Genomic DNA, 22,351 nt, shown 5'->3' on the forward strand with positions numbered 1-22,351 from the left:
GCTGGGAAGTCCAAGATCAAGGCATCGACAAATTTGGTGACAGATGAGGCCTCGCTCCCTCAAAGACAATAGTCTTATCACTCTAACCTCATGTGGCAGAAGGAGTAAATGAGCTCCCTGGGGCCTCTTTTACAAGGGCACTAGTACTACTCATGAGGGTGGAGCCCTTATGACCTGATTACTTCCCAAAGGCCACACTTTCTAATACCGTCATCTTGGGAGTTAGAATTTCAATATATAAATTTTGCGGGGGACACAAACATTCAGTCCATTACACTTTTAGTGCCATAATGGGATTTGGTTTTTATTATCAATGACCTACAGGATGTACATTTTAATCTTAAAATAATCTAGGGCAGAATATGTGTTCATGTAACTCAGTTTGTCACCATTCTTTTCACCATCATCATCAGGACTTAATGCCTAAACATACCCTGAGTATGTTTAGCATACATACCCTTGTGCAACTCACCTGAGAGTGGAAATGAAACGATGAAAGCACCCCTGCACTCTTGGCCTAGGTGCACATTTACTGATATTACACATTGAGCAGAAGAGACTTAGCAAGAAGCTAATGAAGCTTAAAGTTCAGGTCCCTGTACTTGCATGTTCCTTCCAGGGACCTGGGAGGGACTCTGGCAATTTTTACTTGTAAATTTCTAATTTTTTTTCCAAAATAGGGCTTTCCAGAATTGTATCTGCCTCAGGCCTTACAAAAACAGGGAATATCTTGGCATCTATGTTTCTGTTGAGAGGTAGGAGCAAAAGGAAAGCTTTAACTCCCAATCCTGGTGTCGTTTCCAGGCACAGAGAGTTTAAAATATTCCTCTCTTCCTCACCATGTGCAGAGAACACTGCATTCAGAAGCATTACCTGCAGCTCATGTTAGTGAGAGACAGAGAGCTGCAGTACTGTGCAGCCATTCCTGGTTCATTAGCAAAGCAATGGGTATGTAGATGCAGAGAATAAGGACTTTTGTAATTTGTCATTAATCCTGGGATAGGAGGATAATAATACAGGACAAGTGCAGCATGCAGGCATGAGAACATTGAGAAGAGAACCCATGGGAACAGGAAGAAAATGAGCATAACTACACCAAATACAGATTTCTGTTTTCAACAGACTAGTTAAGTGTTTGTGTCAGTCTTTTGTGAAAAGAATTGGGACTTACAATCAGAAACTGCACATACTTCGAAAACTGCAGCTTTATGCTAACTACATCATGTCTGTATAGTAAGCTAACCATATAATACAGTATTCTACTATACTAAATATGAAGTAGAATGTATTTGTCATTTCATAGCACAAATCATTCATATAAGACATTTCCTTAACATACGTAACATATGATACAAATTTATTTAAAATACACTCAGACTCTTCCATATCCACCATATCAGTAACAGTCACCTCCTTAGGAGGGGTAACTCATGTCCTCCATTTGTGTCATATTCTTCCTCACCTTTTTCTTTCTTTTCTTTTTTTTCTTGAGAATGAATCTCACTCTGTCACCCAGGCTAGAGTGCCATGGTGCAATCACGACTCACTGCAGCCCTGACCTGGGTGCAAGCAATCTTTCCACCTCAGCCTCCAAAGTAGCTGGGACTACAGGTGTGTGCCACGACATCTGGCTAAGTTTTCAAAGTTTTTTTGGAGATGAGGATCTCCCTATGTTGCTCAGGCTGGTCTTGAACCCCTGGCTCAAGCAGTCCTCCCACCTCAACCCCCCAAAGTGTTGAAATTATAGGAGGGAGCCACTGTGCCCAGCCTTCCATACCTTTTTAAACATATGTTTACTTTTTCAATTGCAGTTAAGTGTAGATATTATTTTATCAACTCTTAGGGCCACATTTTAAAAAGTAAGTATCTAGTATTCTACAATATAGATTCTGCAACTTTTATTTTAAACTCAAAGATATATGAAAGATCTTTTCATAATGTATATGTAGATGCTTCTTATTATTAACTACTGTATAATATCCTATAGTGTGACCATACCGACATTAATTTATCCATTCCCTTATTGGTGGAACTTTTGCTATTACATTCAATGCTGCAATGAATATTTTTATGCATTTTTCTGCGTATTTGTGTTTCTCTAGGAAAGACCACAAAAACAGTAGAATTTCTGGGTCACTTTACATGTGAATAGAAACTGTCAGATTGTACTCCAAAACTGTTCTTCTGGTTTACAGTATTCTTACCACATATGTGAGTGCCCAGTTCCCCATCTGCTTAGTAATATACAGTGTTATCAATCTTTTCAGTTTTCTTTTTTGCTAATTTGATGAGCATAGTTTTCTGATTATTGGATTATTTAATTTCTGAGTTAATATTTTTATACCTTTATAAGGTTTCTCATTAAAGAACAATTCTGAATATTTTTATATTTAGATACTTGTAATTATAACTTATCTATTATGGGCAAGATTCTGGAGCTCAAATTGATAAATAAGGTAAGCAGCCAGGTCAGAAGGCAGTCATACAACATTTATTTCTGGCTGGTTGGGCTGTGTATTACATCCAGGTCAGAGATGCTTTCTACTTCAGCTATCTGAGGGAAGACAGGAGAGGTGCTTAACTAACCTTAAATACATCTGATAGACATAATTTAAGTAGGTTTAATTTTATACACATGTATTCAGCAGCTACTGTGTTCACAGCCCTCTCTAAGATTAAAAGATAAATCAAATATAATACTTACCTTTAAGTATAATAGTGAACACTGATAGTGTAAAAAAAAACAGTTTAATAGCAAACACTGATTGGCTAAAAAATAAATGCAATACAAGAACTGTTTTGATGAGGGACAAATGACATAAAAAATGGGTTCTGCTGGCTGGACGCAGTGGCTGACGCCTGTAATCCCAGCACTTCTGGAGGCCGAGGCGGGGGGATCACGAGGTCAGGAAATCGAGACCATCCTGGCTAACACGGTGAAAACCCGTCTCTACTAAAAATACAAAAAAATTAGCCGGGCGTGGTGGCAGGCGCCCGTAGTCCCAGCTACTTGGGAGGCTGAGGCAGGAGAATGGCGTGAACCCAGGAGGTGGAGCTTGCAGTGAGCGGAGATCGTGCCACTGCACTTCAGCCTGGGAGACAGAGCGAAACTTCGTCTCAGAAAAAAAAAAAGAAAAAAAAAAAAGGATTCTGCTGAAACTTCAAGGAGAGAGCTCCAAATGGGATCTTAGGGCAGACATCAGAGCCAGTGTCTGTGCACAACCTTGAAAACATACAGATTTCATGTGGCAGGGGGATGGGGAAGGACACTCAAAACTGAGAGAAAAGAAGAGCACAGAGGCTAGATCTTGGCCTAACTAGTGTGTGAGTGAACTTTGAGGATGGGAGTTAATATGGGACATAAGCCCAGGAAGTTCTCTGGGCCTGAAATATACATTATTCTGTAGAACAGTTTTTCCAAGTGCAGATCACCTACAGCTGAACTGGAGGCTGCTCATTTAAAACATACACTCGCAGCTTCACCTCAACCAATGAGATTAAAATATCTAGGCTGTGGGGCCCAGGGATCTTCATGTTTTACAATAGTCTCTGAGGATTTTTAAAAATTGCGTTCGATTTGAAATTCGCTCTTGTAGACAATGCTGAGTCTTTGAAAAACTTTGGATTCTTCTGGGAGAGAACTAAGGGAATCAACCATTTAGGGAACAGCTTGCAGGTGGTTAGGGAAAAAGAAAGGGAAGTGACCCTGAAAACAATCCTATTGGCTAGATGCCCTTAGGACATACTGTCCTTCGGATTGCTCTAATATCAAGATGTATGTTGGTCAAAGCAGCCCAGGTCAAAAGCAGAGATGCGTTTAGGGCCATTTAAAACCAATATTAGCCTTAATGCTCTTTGAAAGAGGCATAATTAGGAATGTAAAAGTCAGGTTACCTCTGATTAGTGAGAAACAGAGTGAAGGGTGAATCCATTAGAGGCTTCTTGTAAGACATTCACACTTTAAGAACATTGCTTTGATGGCTTTGAAGGGGGTGGAATGGGGGAGAAAGGCAGCAGAACCAGTTCTTACTTCAAAGACCTATTACAGCCTTTTTCTTTTTAGGACAATACTCTTAAATGTTTTGAGTAGCACTAAAAGGTTTTTTAAATTTGAATATAATGGATTTGGCCATTTGCAGGTAAATTTTGATTGGCCATAAGATTAACTCATACTATGATTCAACTAATGGTTTTGAAATTGTTTGAATTTGCATATATGCATTTATATTTTCATTCACATAATTCCAATGGGGATCTTTATTCCCTGTTTGGAAATGAAACAGAGGTTAAGTGATTTCCTTCAGTAGATACTAGAAACCAGGTTTTCCAAATCCTAGTCTAGGGTTCACATCTCAAAACTCCTTGAAGAAAATGAAAATATGGTGGAGATGCACTTTGGCAGATAAGGAAATAGTTCTCCGTCCCTTGCAGATATAAACACTTGGGTATATAAAGCAATCTGAGAAATGGAGGGGAATCACTCACAAAGGAGTTTGAGAGGCCTGGCTAGAGGAGGCAGACATGGTTAAGTAGAAGGGGCCAAGCTGCTGAGCAACCTGAAGATTCCCCCTGCCAGTAGAAGCTCCAGTACAGAAGCTACAGTTTGATTGCTGTAGTAAACAATCAGGGCAGAAGACACCGTGACAAAATATTCTTCAATAGGGGAATCTGCTTATGTAGAAGATACTCACAAGTCAGGACAGAAAGGACCGAATTAAAGTGGGGAATGGGCTTAAAGAGTTTTTGGGGAGAGAAGGTTCTTACATTAGGCCAAGCCTAAGGTACAATAAAAGGAACCAAGAGTTTAACATCCATGGTGTACCTACCAAGTGCTGGGCACTGTGCTATTTACACACTTGGGATTTAGAGGGACAGATGGGATCCAACAGATGTAAACTTTCAAATGTTGTCCTACTGGAAGTGCTACAAAAGGAGGGTCTTTCATTCCATCCTTCTCATTTCCTACCTTTGAATTGCATTTGTCCAAACAAATTCCACAGGTAATACATTGATTTACGTGAAAGGCAGTTCATAACAACATCTTGATTTTTTTCATTAAAATTTTTTTTATTAGTCTCTATGTCACTGTATCAGGGAAATTAAGACCAGAGCATATGGCTATATAGACCCACTATGGTTTGCTTTTTATAGATATCTGTTTAGGAAACAAGTCTTGAAAATCAATAATATTAATCTCTGAAGTATTCCTGAGATTTTCAGTGAATGTGTAAAGACATTTGACTTGTTTGTTTTGTTTTTAATACAATTAAGTCCATATTTATATGGCTCACTTCCTCAGTTTTTTTAAGGACAGGTTGAAGAAGTTCAAGGTCTTATGCTTTGCCCCTAAAGCAACTGCACTCTTGTTTGGGAGAAAAACACACATAAAATGGTGACCTAACAGGTAGAACACACTAAAACTCAGTAAAGAGGGATGGCATAGAAACCATACTAACCATATTTGAGTCCTCACTCTACCACGTATTAGTTGTGTGATTCCAGGCAAATTGCTCAGTCACTCTGTGTCTCATTTTTCCCATCTGTAAAGTGGGAATAAAAAGTTAATTAACACATCTACGGGTCTTAGGACAGGAGCTCCATGTTTATTATTTCTTAGGAAGATGTATGTAAATAAAGTGTGAATTTTTGAAGGGAGAGGTTTCTTTGAGTATGAATACTTAGGGGAATTTCCACGGACCACTTAATGGATCAGGTAGAATTTGAGCTGTGAATTTCAAAAATAGTAGAAATATATATATATTTATATCTAAATATATTTGCAGTTACTGACTCCTTTCTGAAGCCAAGTTTATATCCACTGACCCCTCTGGCAAGAATGCATCCATAATGGTTTGTCTTTCCATAATCAGAAATTTTTAAATTATAAAATATTTATTATAAAACATGTAGAAAATATGCAAGTACAAAAATGAAACTATAATTCTACTTTATCCCTTGTTGAAAGTTTGTTGCATTTCCTTCCTATCTTTTTTTTTCTTCTATGCATGTATTTTAACCAAAATGTGGTCATATTATACATGCAGTTTTGTATCCTACTAGGACAGCATTTTCCATTGTCATCAATTATTCCTGAAAAACACTGTTTTTAATGATTATGTAAGCAGACAGGGAGGGTCTCCAGGGACTATAGGAATTTAATCAACTCGAGCAATCAGCCTGTTTTACAGCCTCCTGCCTTGCAGCCTGTTTTTTCCCTAACCCTGTGTGGAATGTGGTAACCTAGTGGGCTGGAGCTAGGTCCTGACAGACCCAGGCAACTTATAGATGAACCAGAATGAACTTTCCTCATTACCATGCCAAAGTCTCCACCCCAGGAGGAGATGCAGCTTTATTATCATAACATGTGCCCTATGTGCTGGCAGGATGACTGACTGAGTCCATGCCCCTGGGACCCCTCCACTATGTGCAATGATGTACCCTCTACCCTCTTCATTGCTCCATAAAACCCTCTCCTCCCTTTCCCTCAGCGAGATGCTGCTTTGGAGAATCCTTTCAGTGCTCTCCTTACCTGTGACAAGTAATAAAACTCCTATAGATCAAAACCTGCATTCTTGTGGAGAGTCGTTTGTTACTTACCCCATGAACAAACCCTGTATTTTTTCTGGTAACAATTTTGGATCATATGATTCATCATTGTTTATTTATTGTTATAATTTAGATGTTACAGCTTTTCACTATTATATAAAAAATACAATAAATATTTTTCTACCCAAATCTTTGTGAAGTTATTTGATTGTTTCCTTGAGAAAGCACCCTGAAATAAATGTACTGGGTTCAAGATTATGGATGTTTTAAAAATTCTTCTTGCTTGTAGTTGAAATGATTTCAGAAAGGTTAAACTAATTTATACCCCCCCCCCCCCGCCTTTTTTTTTTTTTGAGACAGAATCTCGCTCTGTCACCCAGGCTGGAGTGCAGTGGTGTGATCTTGGCTCACTGCAACCTCCACCTCGCTGGTTCAAGTGATTCTCCTGCCTCAGTCTCCATGGTAGCTGGGATTACAGGTGCCCACCACCACGGCTGCTAATTTTTGTATTTTTTGATAGAGATGGGGTTTCACCATGTTGGCCATGCTGGTCTCAAACTCCTGGCCTCAAGTGATCTGCCCACCTCAGCCTCCCAAAGTGCTGGGATTACAGGTGTGAGCCACTGCACCCGTCCTAAACTAATTTATACTCTTGCTAGCAATGTTTAAGAGTTTCCAACTCACTGTATATTCATTAAAATTAGTACTATCATTTTTTAATCTTTGTCAATTTAATAGGTGAAACATAGCATTTTACTTTAATTAGCAATATTTGTTGGCTAGTGAAGTTGAACTTTTCTCCAGCTTTATTGAGGTAAAATTGATAAACATCTTATATATTTAAAGTATATAACATGATGTTTTGATAGATTTGTACATTGTGAAATAATGACCACAAACTAATTAACATATTAATCACCTCATGTTATCAATTTTTTTTTGGTGAGAACATTTAAAATCTACTTTCTTACCAAATTTCAAGTATACAATACAGTATTGTTAACTATAGTCACCAGACTGGAAGTTATGAACTTTTAAAAAATGTTTCTTCACTTTGATTTCTCCATCACTGATCATCCAAATGTACCCTTTGTCCAGTTTTTGAGGGGAGGGGATTTTGGTTGTTGTTTGTATCAACTTGCATGAGCTTTTCACACAGTAGTGGCATTAACTTTTTGTCAAATTTGTGCCAAATTATTTCTATCTGTCCTTGATGCATGTAAGTTTTCTATTCTTATGTAGTCAATTTTTAAAGTTATTTCCACTTGTGATTTCTTCCACTGCTTTTAAGTTTAGAAAGCATGAATTTCTGTTTGTTTTTCTTTAAAAAATTTGTATAAAAAGCTAAATATTTACCATGAAGAGGTAAGGGAGATTTTGTTTTTATCATCAGGCTTTTTTTCTCCTGCTCTTTCATTTCCTTCTTCAAACAAATCTATGATAATTAAAGTCATTTATGGTTAATTTTGGGAAAACACATTTTTCTCAATTTCAAAATTTCTCCTCTTGTTTCACACCCATTTCTTGTAGAGTCTGCAGTAAGTGCAGTAGTCACATTAAGTAGAAATTATTTTCCACTGAGGGCTATAGAAGTATCTGTTCTTTACCTTCCTAAAAATGCATTGCTTGACAAAGATTAAAACTTTGGCACATAGGAGTTTTAAAAAATTTGCTATTGACTCAGTGTGCTCATGATTTGGCAGAATCCATTTTGTTGAGTTTGCTGTTGTTGATGTTGGTTAAAACCTCCTCAGTGCAGAAATGTAAAATGCACATCATCTCATTTGTTTTCTTAAGGAGACTGATTCTACCCTCTGCATTGCTTCTCAGCGGGTCTGCCTTAAATGAGGAGAAATTGGGGGATGGGAGAATTTATACAATCATATCTCACAGGAGGTTTGATGTAAAAGAGATTAAGCCTTAGCATTGTTTCCCAAATTATTTTAAATGTCAGCTTAAAAGGCTTTTAAGGTTTTTTATTTTGAACGGAAGTATTAACTAGAACGCCAGGGGCAGTTAGTTTGAGAAAAGCAATACTGTGCATCTTAAATTGGGTAGAAATTTTTATGACTCAAATTCTTCATTTATTATACCCAGATGGTGAGAGCAGGCTGCTGTCTCTGATGCCCTGGTGGAAACAAACCATCAAGGGACCCTTTTTAAAGATGGAAACCTCACTAGGACGTTTCAACATGGTGTCAGCATTGCCTCTTCTTTGCCATGTTGACTGGAGCATCTTGAACTTGAAAACAATTCACTGAATTCCCAAAGTTTAAAGATCTTCCTGAAATTTCCCGTTGCCTGTATGTGCAGGGGCTATGGAATTAACTGAAGGTGTTGCTTCACCAAAGTAACTACCCACCCAAAAAGATGAAGCAATTATTTGCTCATTCAACAAATTATTTGTTCATTATCTATTAAATACAAGGTGTCCTATGGAGTTAAAAGAAGTTGCTTTTAAAAAGTTAAGTATAAAAACTGAAGAAAATACTTAAAAGTATAATTCATAAATTATAATACCTTAATGAAAAATTCTTTCATTTCTAGGAATCCTTTATTTTAAAATGAAATATACTTGTCTAATGTGGCATTGATGGTCGCTTAGTGTGTACAGCACTTCATAAAGTATGCTTACATATGATATATCATTTGGTTTATCCACTCTTTATAATACATAGCAAAGACATTACCATCTTCATTTTATAAATCAATGACTCCATAGGTAAAATTACATGGCTAGTAAGAGATGGAGTTAGAAATCAAACACAGGTTCTTGAATCTTAGGCTGACTTCATTCCCTCTATGCTATAATGCTGAAAGAGAGGGAAATAACAAACAGCTACTTTTGTAGGTGTGACATTTTAAGTGTTAGAGCAGCATTTTACTGGTGACTGCTGTCATAGCTTTCTTTGTAAACATGAATGTAAATTAGGGTATTGCTAGGATTTAATCTTTTATAAAAATAGAACAGCAGCTATGGTTTAAGTATAGTATGACTGCAAAGAAACTTTATGATATTTTGAGTTTAAACATGGAACACTCATTATTGCAACTTTTTTAGGAGAGAGAAACCCCAGGTTACGTTCTATCTCAGCATTGCATCAGAATTTGCTTTATTTTTGTTTTTTGTCTATTTCATTTGATACTGAGTTCATCTGGAGATTCAAAGCTGAAATGACAAATAATTGTAGCCACAATCACCTAATTGTGCTGATCATTAAGAGGGGAGGGTTTTCTGTCTGAGGGTAGTGTGGCTAGACAATGACAGGCTGGGTTATAACTGCTGAAACCACCATTGTGTGTTAAAAGAATGAGCAACAGATCCAGAATTTTGGTTGTTTGACTATATGAATTTTTGCTAGACTCTAAACTTGAGAAAAGTTTTAGTCATGGTACCCTTGCTCAGTAAAAAGCAGATGGGGAGAGGATTGTCATCATTTATACTTGGGCTACAATGTAGCATGGATGCAATTTTGGAAAATAATTACTTAAAGGCCATAATACCAAGGAGTGAGGACATAATCAATTCAATTCAATAAATGTTTATCAAGTGCCTCCTCTAGGTCAGGCACAGTGCTGGGACCTAAGGCTATGGTAGAAAACAAGTGAAATACAGCCACTTTGGTCACAGAGCTAGAGGGTAAGGGAAATTTCTGGTGTTAATATGTGATTAATTACAATAACATGATGAATAAAAAAGTAATGTGATTAATAAGAAAGTGAATGAAGAGGCCAGGCGCAGTGGCTCATGCCTATAATCCCAGCACTTTGGGAGGCTGAAGTGGGCTGATCACGAGGTCAGGAGATCAAGACCATCCTGGCTAACACAGTGAAACCCCATCTCCACTAAAAATACAAAAAAATTAGCCAGGCGTCTTGGTGGGTGCCTGTAGTCCCAGCTACTCAGGAGGCTGAGGCAGGAGAATGGAATGAACCCAGGAGGCGGAGCTTGCAGTGAGCCGAGATTGCATCACAGCACTCCAGCCTGGGTGACAGACCAAGACTCCATCTTAAAAAATAATAATAATAATAATAAAAATAAAAAAGTGAATGAAGAGTAAAGAAATCTAATCTAGTCTAAGGACTAAAGGAAAACTTATTGAATCTTTCAAAGATCTTAGCAACAAAAATAGTATTTAGAAAAACCAAGGTATGATGGTTAATTTTATGTGTCAAATTGATTGGACCACAGGGTGCCCAGATATTTGGTCAAACATTATTTCTGGTGTTTGTGAGGGTGTCCTTGGATGAAATGAATGTTTGAATCTGTAGAGTTACTGAAGCAGATTGCCCTCTCTGATGTGGGTGACCCTCATCCAGTCAGATGAAAGACCGAATAGAACAAAAAAGGCGGACCCTCATGCAAATAAAGGGAATCTCCTCTTTCCTGACTGCTTGAGCTGGGACATAAGTCCTTTTCTGCCTTCAGAATTAAATTAAAACGTTGGCTCTTTTTGTGTCTTAAGCTGCTGGCCTTGGACTGGAACTTACACATCAACTCTTCTGGGTCTCCAGCTTGCTGACTGGAGATCTTCAGCCTTCTTAGCCTCCATAATCACAAGATCTAATTCCTTAATAAGTCTCCATCTCTCTTCCTCTCATCCTCTTTTCCCATATACATATATATAATTAATATTTATATATATGTATATATACAGACATACACATATACATACACATCCTATTGATCTTATTTCTCTGGAGAAACCTAATACACGAGGCATCAAAACCAAACCAGGGCCAGGCACGGTGGCTCACTCCTGTAATCCCAGCACTTTGGGAGGCTGAGGCGGGTGGATCACAAGGTCAGGAGATCGAGACCATCCTGGCTAACATGGTGAAACCCCATCTGTACTAAAGAATATAAAAAAAAAAAAATTAGCCAGGCGTGGTGGCGGGTGCTTGTAGTCCAAGCTCCTCAGGAGGCTGAGGCAGGAGAATGGTGTGAACCCGGGAGGTGGAGCTTGTAGTTAGTGGAGATCACGCTACTGCACTCCAGCCTGGGAGACAGAGCGAGACTCCGTCTCAAAACAAAACAAAACAAAACAAACAACAACAACAACAAACCAAACCAGACATCATCTTCAGGAAGCTTTCTATGACTCACCAAGGCTGGGTTGGGTGCTTCTCCTCTGGACTTCCATAGAATCTTGTGAGTGTAGTCCATTTAAAATTAGAAGTATTTTTCAAATTTTTAGCTAATGTTAGATTCTAGGGATCAATAGCTAAAGAACTATATGTTTCTGAATTAAGGCATTGAAACAAGAATTTCAACATTGCTGAGTCTCAGAGATTGTTTCTACTTATAAGAAAGATCCAAAATATGGTTGTCATATGTCAAAAATAAGCTTTATTTTCAGTTTTACAGAGAAAGAGTATGTGACATTTTCCTAAATATATGGAGACTCTCCATAAGAAAGGAATATATTTAGCGTCAGCAGGGCAAGGGTCATGAAGGTACCCTACTTGATTGAGGACATGGGGTGGGGGCCAAGGAGGTGGTCCATGTGGTCGGGATATTGATTACATGCAGGGGAATTGACCATGTAAGTAAATATATTAAGAGAATTGAAAGCCAGATTTCTCTCTTTTAGAGAAAGGATTTACCAATAAAAAGAAGGAAGGCTAAAGAAAACCCATACATGAGTCATGGGTTTTGGAATTTACAGAGAGATAGATATAGATATTGAAACAAATATAGATTTATGTATAGACATGTGGGTATTAGAGGGAGTAGAAGCAATCATACCCAGTAGCAATGAGTACGCCTCATACCCATATCTTGATTACTAAGTATCATTCTCCACTAAAAGGAAACAGAGTTCCTTGGAGAAATAAGTGATTCTGGGACTGGAGCAGGAAAAGTACAAGATGACTCTGAAAAATGTTGTGTGCTAAAAAAATAAGAAAGCCTACAAAGAATATTGGGGACATATCAAAAGGATACAAGAGTTATTTTGAAAAAACTCTCACTGGCTACATGTAGAATGATCTGGGCCTCAAAAAACCATAATGATAGAAATGTATGAATGGATAAATATAAAAAATTCTACCTTTCAGTAGAATGCCAGATAATGAATGTAAAAGGAATAATAAAATTTAGAAAAAAACACTATTTAAAAACCATAATAATAATAATTGATTAAAGCAAGACTCATCAATGGTTGCTAAACTGGTGGATAACATTTGATGAGGAATGGGATATTTACATAGTCTCAAAATAGAGCCACAGAATTTACTTATTAATGAGTTTTTAATAAGTATAAAAGATATATTAATTAATTTTAAAGTGGAAAATCTGGTCAATACCATCTTAAGGAAAAAAGTTAACACAATCTTTAAATTGGAAAGTTGACATAATGTGTCTTCTGTTATGCACTAAGAAGACTACAGCATCATTTTTGTAGTGCTCTTGCTAAAAATCATGAATATGAATTTAATAATGAAGAAACATCAGGTAAACCCAGACTGAGGGCCATTCTACAAAGTAACTGTTGTGTACTTTCAAAAATATTAAGGTCAAAATAGACAAAACAAAGCAAGCCCTCTTGGCTATGAAATGCATGGCCGATCCTGGATTTGATCCTGGACTTGTAAAGGACGTTAAAGGGACAGTTGGCACAATTTGTTTAGGATCCATGGATTAGATATTATTATTGTATTGATGTTAATTTCCTGATTCTGATTGTTTTGCTACAGATACATAGGAAGATGTCTTAGTTTTTAGAAAATATTCACTGAAATATTAAGGAGTATCCTATCTACAACTTACTCTCAAATGATTCAGAAATGTACATACAGAGAGACAGAGAACAATAAACAAGAAAGAGAATGTAAAATGTTATAATTGGGGAATCTGGGTGAAAAGTGTACCTGATTTCTCTATACAATTCTTGTACCTTCTCTGTAAGTTTAAAATCATGTTAAAATAAAAGTTTAAAAAATTGTTATCCTTAAAATGTAATTACTGACATACCTGTTAACAAATTAAAACAATGTGTTTTAAATGCTTTTGTTTTCTGGAGTCTTTTTTTCATGTTATTGGGTCAGATCTCAGAATCAATACAACTTATCAAAGGCATACATACATTTACTTAACTTTCAACTAATAATCTATTAAACATGTAAAACAGTTCCTGAGCTTTAACAACGTTGATTTCATATTGCCACTTCGTTGATAGAAGAATATAAACCATAGTCAAGTCAAGAACTTGATTTGTAGAAAAGAGAAATCTCAAAGGTAATCTAACAGTTGTTCAGGAAGAGTGTGAGTTATCAGTCACCCTGTAAACACCAAAAAATATGATTTCATTATATCAGGAGTGAAGAGACTGTGGCAAAAACAAAAGAAATGGAAAATGTGGCATTTTTCCACCTAGAGCTCACAATCTAATCCTGAACCAGATCTAGTACCTTGACTACAACCACCAAAGGACTTTAAGACTAGTACAAGTTTCAGCTGTGCAAACTGAAACCTTACACAGGAAGGGATGTAGGACAACAGTGCACAAAGTTGGGAGGGATGAATTCATTCAAGGCATTTTTATGAAGAACAAGCCAGGCTGAGGCATCTTTCTAGCAGGGGGGATACAGCAGTATACTAGACAGACATGGTCCCTCCTGGAGTTTAGGCTTATGGCACAATTAGGAGCTATGAAATGAATAGTCACCATCCAAATTATTTAGTGATGTTTGTAATAAGTATCACAACGGAGAAGTTTGGGTGCTGTGAAGGTGTATGAGGAAGGTTAAGAAAGGCTTCTCAGAGAAAGTGAGGTTTCAGCTTTGGCAAGAAGAAAGACTAGGAATTGACTGGATTAAGGGAGGAGGGAACCTTGCTCTGGGCAGAGAAAATACCCCCTTGTGGAAGGCAGATGGAAACCTTTGAAGGACTGCAAGGTTAGTGTGTCTGGTGCATGGCGAGCTGGAGGGAGAGTGAAACAAGATGTGCTGGCTTATGTGAACCTTGTAGGATCCTAAAAACATTGGAGAATGCGTTGTAGGGGAAAAACGGGGGAAACAAAAGTGGAGAGGATCAGCAGCTGGAAAAGTGGTGCTGTTGTATAGGCATCATGTAACAGAGGGTTAGCCTGGAGTGTTAGCAGTGAACATGCAGAAGAGGATGGAGAAATATATTTGTTGCTGATGTGGAATCCATAGAGTGATCAGATGTGGGGGATGATGGAAAGAGAGAAACCAAAATGACCTGAGAGTCTTGGCTTGAGTGTCTGGGAAAGTAGCAGAGCCGTTTATTAATCCACAGAGGGAGGAGGAATTAGTTTTGAGATAACTGTCATGAATTAAGCCAAGGATACTTCTTGGAGGAGCAAGAAATGAGAAAGCACTCCATGAAAGTTACAAGGAAATTATATGGAAAGGCATGAAGGCAGAAAGAAGGCCATCAGTAAAGGTATCTGCTTGCAGAGGAGCGACTAGAGAGAAGGACTCTATTGAAAAGGAGGAATGTAGAAGACAGTCTCAAAGGAAAGGCAAATATATTTGAATTCAACCAGTTGTGCCTGAAAATAGATGGTGCTGAAGACTACTGTTTAAGGGTTAGATTAAAGATTATCCTATTCTAATTAGGAGTGGGATTGCTCATGATTGACCATGGGGGCAGAGGCAGAAGGAAGGTGCCACTAATTTGATGCCCAAAGAGATTCAACAGTGACAAAAATAAGTAATGCAAAATACTACACTTGGATATTTAGTCCTGTCCAAATAATTGGGATAGGGAAAGGGATTATAAGGAGTGGAGGAGAAGGACACTAGATACCATAAATTCTGCAGGAGCTGGTCATTTGCCAAAATGAACAATGTCAACAATGATAGCAACAGATGCAATGATAGCAACAAATGCAAAGACTATTCATTGTGCCTTTAATACATGCTCACTAATCACTTACTATGTTTGATCTCATTTAATTGGTGCTATCACCTTATAAGTATTTTTTAAAATCTTCATTTGCACCTGGAAAATAGAGCTCAGAGAAGTTATCAGAGAAGATATAATTAACTCCCCAAGCATGAAACAACTTAAGAAGTGGAAGAGGCAAGGTACAGGGCTAGAATGATTAACTCTAAAATTCTTATTCCTTACACAATGATTCTAAATCATTTCTAACCTAGAGAAACCTCAGGAGGCCCAAAGTTTCTATCTGTTCGAAGAAGAATCTGGAAATGGCTCTGGATGCCCCATCCATATCAATTTTGCAGACCCGTCTGGAGCTCTGTTGCAGTGGAAGAAGCTGCATAGGAGAAAGGATGAATGAGAGGGCTGAACACAAGAACACAGAAGGGACTGAAGCCTCCACTTTTCCCCACCTCTGCCTATTGCCACAGTATCTGGATTAAAACTCTATGCATTGATCACTGTTTTGGTTTATTTTTCTGATTCTCTAGGGTGGGAAATGTTCTCTCTCTAGGCAGTAATCCTTCCCTACTTTGCATGACTCCCAAGAAGTAGTGCTGCTAGGATTTCAACCCAGGTCTGGTAGATGCCAGTGTGCGTGGGCTTCTACAGGCAACACACCCCTTTGTAAGGCTGGGGGAAGTTTGCAGGAGGGTCTTTTAGCTAAACACCCAGCGGACAGTGGCTTCCCGAGAGGATGTGACTAGAAATGAGAAAATCTAGAACTTAAACTGCATTTCACTGGCCACAGCTAGCAAATGACCTCAGCTCCTTCTTCCTCTATAGAAATCCAGCTTGCCGGATATAGCACAGAAATTTCAAGAATAACTGCTGTGTAGCCTCAGTTACTTTATTGTTAAAAGCTATGCACCAAAATATAGGATAGCAATTGTGGGAGAGAGGATGGGTTTTACCAAGTTTAACTCAATTTAACATTGTGTCTTAAAAAAATCTTATGTTTCAAACCAATTCCGCTCATTGAGGATTCAAGTTCACATAACTTTGCAACACACAGCTTCCTGCCACTATGGAAAAAGGGCTTTAGAAGACTTACAAGGCTTCATAGACTTCAAATAAGTCTTATGAAACAACATGTTCACGTGTTAAGTGCAAATGAGTCAGAAACATAAGGATTAAATTTCCCTTAAAATACACAGGGGTTTGAAAATGAAGGGAAAAATGCTGAGGGCAAAACGTGTTTTGGATTTTGGCAAACCCAAAACATTTGAAAAAAAAAGTGGTTTGATGTTTGATGAACCCTAAACACAGCAGAGTCTGCTCATCTCTCATTGTAATGAAGACCAATAGACCATTTTTGTGTGAAAATGCAGAATCCCACTGGAACTGCCTGTGGACCCCTCACTACTGTAGAACTTGACTGATTCTCATTTCACTAATTCACAAACTTCCTTGCTCACACAGTGGTGGTGGTCTCCCCACAAGCGTTCTCAGCAAAGACATAGTAAGAGCATATTGGAGAAGACGCCTCGGATTACTAAGACTTCATTAGTCTTATAAAATGCACTTGGGGGCATAACCACTGTACAATAAAACATTAACAGAAATCATTAAAATGGAACCATGCCTCATCAAGATAAATAAGAGGACTGTGTTTTATGTGGCATTGTCTTTATTTCTTTAAATTGGTTTGTTCACTTGCTAATTTGCAAAACTGAACAATCAGACGTTCTGTGGTATAAATTAAAGCAGTGAGATTCCTCCATTCATAGATATCCCATCAGAACCCCTGATTTGTACTGAAGTTTCTGAAGTCATAAAGATGAGAATTAAGTCTGGAGGATGTTGTAGGGGCCACAGTAATATTAGGAGGTGAATAAAGAGAATGGTGTTTTTTTCTTCCCAAAGTACTTTCTGAGGGTCTATGTGAGAACAGAATTTGAAGTGTCTTTTTTTGCCCCTTCAGTCTTAGGTCTCTCATTGTGTGCAAACACCGGCTTCTTCATTAACAAATTCCCAACCTAAATAATTCCCTCTGAATTATTTATGTTGGGCTTTGATTTGAACAGACATTACTTTACTCTTATAATCCTCTAGTAGTTGGAGTCATGTGACAAGCTGTCCACTTTTTAAAAGACTCTTTCATAATGAGTCCCAAAAAATGTTTCAAAGACAGATTGCTCTAAAAATAGCAACATTAGGCACCATGAATGAGTGCTGCATGCCAGCCCTGTGCTAAGCTCCTTGCATACCCTATACCACAGAAACTTCTGTGAGGGAGGTGCTATTACCTCCATTTTGCAGATGAGGAAATGGAGGCTCAGCCAATGAAATCATCATGGTAGAATTGATATTTGCACCATTCATTCATTTGACAAACATTTATTAAACAATTTGTGTCAGGCATGATGGCAGATGTTGAGGATGTCATGATGAATGACAGAGCTCTTGCTCTCACAGAGTTGGCATTCTAGATGGAAGAAGACCTTTCTCACCTGAGAGCCATGTTCTTGACCACTGTATACATTCTTTGTGGTTTTTAAGTACAGAGGGACAGAAATCAACACAATATGAATTTCTCTAGAATTAGTTCATATGAGAGTGTTTGGTTATAGGAACAAGGCTGTCTGTAAGATACCATTCTTCAGGTAGAGAAAAGTTGACAAAGCAGAAAAGAAAACCTCTTATGCAAAAAGTTAACCTTCTCCATTTTGCAAATTGGCATACTGTAAGTCTAAAACCATTGCTAAATACACTGACGTGGGCCTGGACCTCAAGTTGTTAAGAATTCCTTTGTAGGTAAGGAGGATGTTCTCCCCTACCTTGGGTGTCCAGTTGAAAAAGAACTTTGCTTTCTTTCTCTATTAGCAAGTACTTGCTGGTATCCTTGTGACTTTCCCAACTAACTGATTTGAAATTTTATGGATCTGAGGGTAATTTGTTGGTGGCATATATATATTTTTTAATCCAGAAAGCTTGGGCTTGTAAAACTTGAGCTGCAAATTTTTATTTGCCCAGCGTACAAGAATTTGGGGGATGAAAAAGGATCTAGACCAACTTTCTTAATTTATAGAAACAGAAAAACTGAGGTCTAGATATTTGAAATACACATAGCTCTCATCAGGGCAGGTATGGTCTAAATCTCATAGGAAAGAATCAGAATTAACCATTCTTAAACTAAGTTTTATTGATTACTCACACATTCATTGGAGTCACTCTCATTATTATGATTTAGAAAATATTACCTAGAAACTCCAGTCCATCACTGTGGGAAGTCAAGCTCCTTTCCCAGAATATCTGCACATTTCCAGGGCTCACATTCTTATGCCCACCACTGACTCCAGGTTCCAGCTGCTCACCTTGGTTCCATTTGAGGATAATCATATCGTCCCTCACATTATGTTACTGCTCCATGGTGCATTGGCCTACACTTGGAACTCAGAACTTTGACATAATTCTGTCCCCGCCACACACACACAGAAAAAGACCAAAGCAAGCAGTAAATAAAATATAAAAAGACTCATTTATAAAAAGCCTTTTTGGATTTATCAAACTTCGCTGGGGTTTAGGTAAGATTGAGATGATTTATTATTGCAACATCTTACTACTGAATATTGGACAGTCTTCATCTTAAAATGCCCCTTGCTCCTTGTTGCAAGTAAGGCTGAGTCCCCAGCCACATTGCCCTGGATGCTCTTTCTTTCTCTTCCTGCTCCTGTTTCCTTTTCTAAAAGTCTCTCTCTTCTCAGGAACAAAATACAAGTTCTTCTATGTTCCCTTTGTATTAATTGATATATAATTCATATAACATACAATTCACCATTTTAAAGTGTGCAATTGAATGGTTTTTAATATATTCACAAAGGTGTGCAACAGTCACTACTATATAATTCTAGAATATTTGCACAACTCCAAAAGGGAACCTCATACTCTTTAGTAGTCCTCAGTCCCCTAGCTCCCAGTTCTTGGCAACCACTAATCTACTTTCTATCTTTGGATTTGCCTGTTCTAAACATTTCATATAAATGGAATCATTCAATATATGGTCTTTTGGTTCTGCCTTCTTTCACTTAGTGTAATGTTTTCAAGGTTCATCCACATTGTAGCATATATCAGTACTTCTTTCCTTTTTATGACTGAATAATATTCCATTGTATGGACATACCTCATTTATTTACTCATTTATCAGTTGATGGACATTTGGTTTGTTTCTAACATTTGGCTATTGGAATAATGTTGCTGTGAACATTTGTGTACAAGTGTTTGTATGAACATATATTTTCAGTTCTCTTGGGTATATACCTAGGAGTAGAATTGCTGGGTCATATGGTAAGTTGATGTTTAACTTCTTGAGAAATTGCCAAATTTACGCCTACATTTTCTTCTAAGAATATTATAGTTTTAGCTCCTATAATTAGGTCATTGCTTCATTTTGAGTAAATTTTTGTAGGTAGTGTGAGGTAGGGGGTCTAATTTACTCTTTTGCATGTGGATATCTAGTGTCCCAGCACTATTTGCTGCAAAACTTTTCTTTCCTCATTGAATTGTCTTGGCACTCTTGTTGAAAATTGACTAACCACTAAATGTGTAGTTTTACCTCTATGTTCTTAAGCAGAACAATTCCACAATCTCCAGCCCTCACCTCCAAATTTAGCTCAGGATATTCCTTTGCACACCTACGGATTTAGCTGAAGCATAAAAAATATTGTTCACAAGTATGCCTCTGATTAAAGTCTTAGACAAGAATTACCCTCTAACACACTGGGAATGAGGAGTGAAGAGGAAAGATGGTTTGTCCTTCTAGTTACACAAGAATTAACAATACAATACAGTAGCCAAGAGGATGATCAGACAGTCATACTAGTTGTGTAAAGATTTGGGACAATAATCTAGTCTCTTTGAGCCTTAGTTACTTTTTGCAGTATATATCTCATAGTATTTCCATGTAGAAATTCCTTCTCAGAATTTCTCAGTAAATGTGTGTTTTCATTAATCTTGCATTCCATAAAAATCAATTGAGAAATCAGAAAAACAGGAAAAACTATCACAGTTCTTCTGTGAGAATTAAAGCTTAATAATCAACATAGAAGTGTTATGAGCTTTAAGACAGCCACCAATGTCACAGTGAAAGCAAGAACAAGAACTGCTGACCCTCAGAGTTGAAAGTTAAGGTAAGCATTTCTGGAAATGAGACAGTCCCATATAGGAGAAAAGCAGCCACCATCCAATCCTGATCAGCATTGTATGGCTATTGAGTACTTGAAATGTGGTTAGCCTGAATGAAATGAGCTATAAGCGTAAAATATGAATTAGATTTTAAAGTCTTAGTATGGAAAAAAGAAGGTAAAATATCTCATTAATAATTATTATATTGATTACATATCAAAATTATAATGTTTTGGATATATTAGGCTAAATGACGTATTATTTTTGCCTTTTCCCTCCTTTTTAATGTTACTCCTAAAGAATTTAAAATTATAGAGGTAGCCAGCATTTGTGGCTGATGGCTATTGTTATGTGTGGCAGGCAAAATTTTAAGACAGCCTCAAATTTCCATGCTTCTGGTGTACACACACCTTCTGTTTGTTTGTTTGTTTGTTCGTTCGTTTGAGACAGATTCTCTCTCTGTCGCCCAGGCTGGAGTGCAGTGGCACGATCTCAGCTCACTGCAACCTCTGTCTCCTGGGATCGTGCCATTCTCCAGCCTCAGCCTGCTGAGTAGCTGGGATTACAGGCGCCCTACCATGCCCTGCTAATTTTTGTACTTTTAGTAGAGCCAGGGTTTCACAGTGTTGCTCAGGCTGGTCTTGAACTCCTGAGCTCAAAGTGATCCACCTGCCTGGGCCTCCCAAAGTGCTGGCATTACAGACGTGAGCCACAGCGCCAATACACACCTTCTTTTCCTTATTCAGTAAAAGTACTGCTGTAAAGGGATTTTGGAGATACAATTAAAGAATCAAATCAGTTTACCTAAAGACAGGGAGATTAGGTAGGTGGGCCTGACCTATCACCTGAGCCCTTTAAAACCTGAGTTTTTTCTGACTGGTGCTGGAAAGGAAGGCGGAGAGCCATACTCCAGCTGGCCTGGAAGAAAGAAAAATATCGAGTGTGAACTGCCTGATGGGACCACATGACAAGAAACTGTGGACAGCCTTTGGTTGCTGAGAGTGGTTCCCAGCCAGCAGCTAGCAGGAAAATGTGGATCTAAGTCCTGCAGCCTCGAGGAAATGAATTCTTCCAGCATCCAGTGAACTTGGAGAGGACCCCAAGCTCCCAGTGAGAACTGCAGTCTCAGCTGACACTTTTAGATTTTGGCCCTGTGGATCTTGACCTACAGAAACATGAAATAATATGTTTGTGTTGTTTAAAGCTGCTAAATTTGTGGTAATTTGTTATGTAGTAATAGAAAACCAACTAACCGTGTTATAAGAGCTTGTTTGTGATCTTCTCTGTGACTAAGGGTGAGTCATTCTTATAAATAAAATAAATGTCTATAAGTTCATATGCATCGTATACTTTATACAAATCCTATGAACGGTGTTTCAAGAAATAACACATTTGGAAGAAAATAAGTCCTTAAATTAGCAATTTTGACATATCAGTTCGTGTAGTGTTGTTAATCTTGCTAGGGAGTCCAAATGTTAGGTTTGTTAGCATTATCTCATAATTTTTGCAGGCATTTTCTAATTTTTGAATATTAACTATAAACCACATCTTTGTAAATACTATAAAATATTAAAAAATAAAAACAAGCCAACAAAACAAAACAATCCCACCAACCCACAAAAAAAACCCCACTAAACCAAAAAAAGCTAAACAACTAAAATATTAAATATTACTTCTCTCTTGGTAAATACTAGTAAAATACAGAATAACTTATGATTTCAGAAATTTCTAAGATTTTCTGGGGATTCTAATTTTTTTTGTTTTCAATTC

The 22,351-nt window shown here is 37.7% G+C and overlaps 1 long non-coding RNA gene across 3 annotated transcripts in view; it reads left to right on the forward strand.

Moving 5' to 3' along the window:
* The window catches only part of LOC105370504 (uncharacterized), a 402,142-nt gene that overhangs the window by 254,808 nt on the left and 124,983 nt on the right, over positions 1-22,351 (forward strand). The gene's annotated exons all lie outside the window — the stretch shown is intronic.

Source organism: Homo sapiens, chromosome 14 (assembly GCF_000001405.40).
Source record: "Homo sapiens chromosome 14, GRCh38.p14 Primary Assembly".
Taxonomy (NCBI): domain Eukaryota; kingdom Metazoa; phylum Chordata; class Mammalia; order Primates; family Hominidae; genus Homo; species Homo sapiens.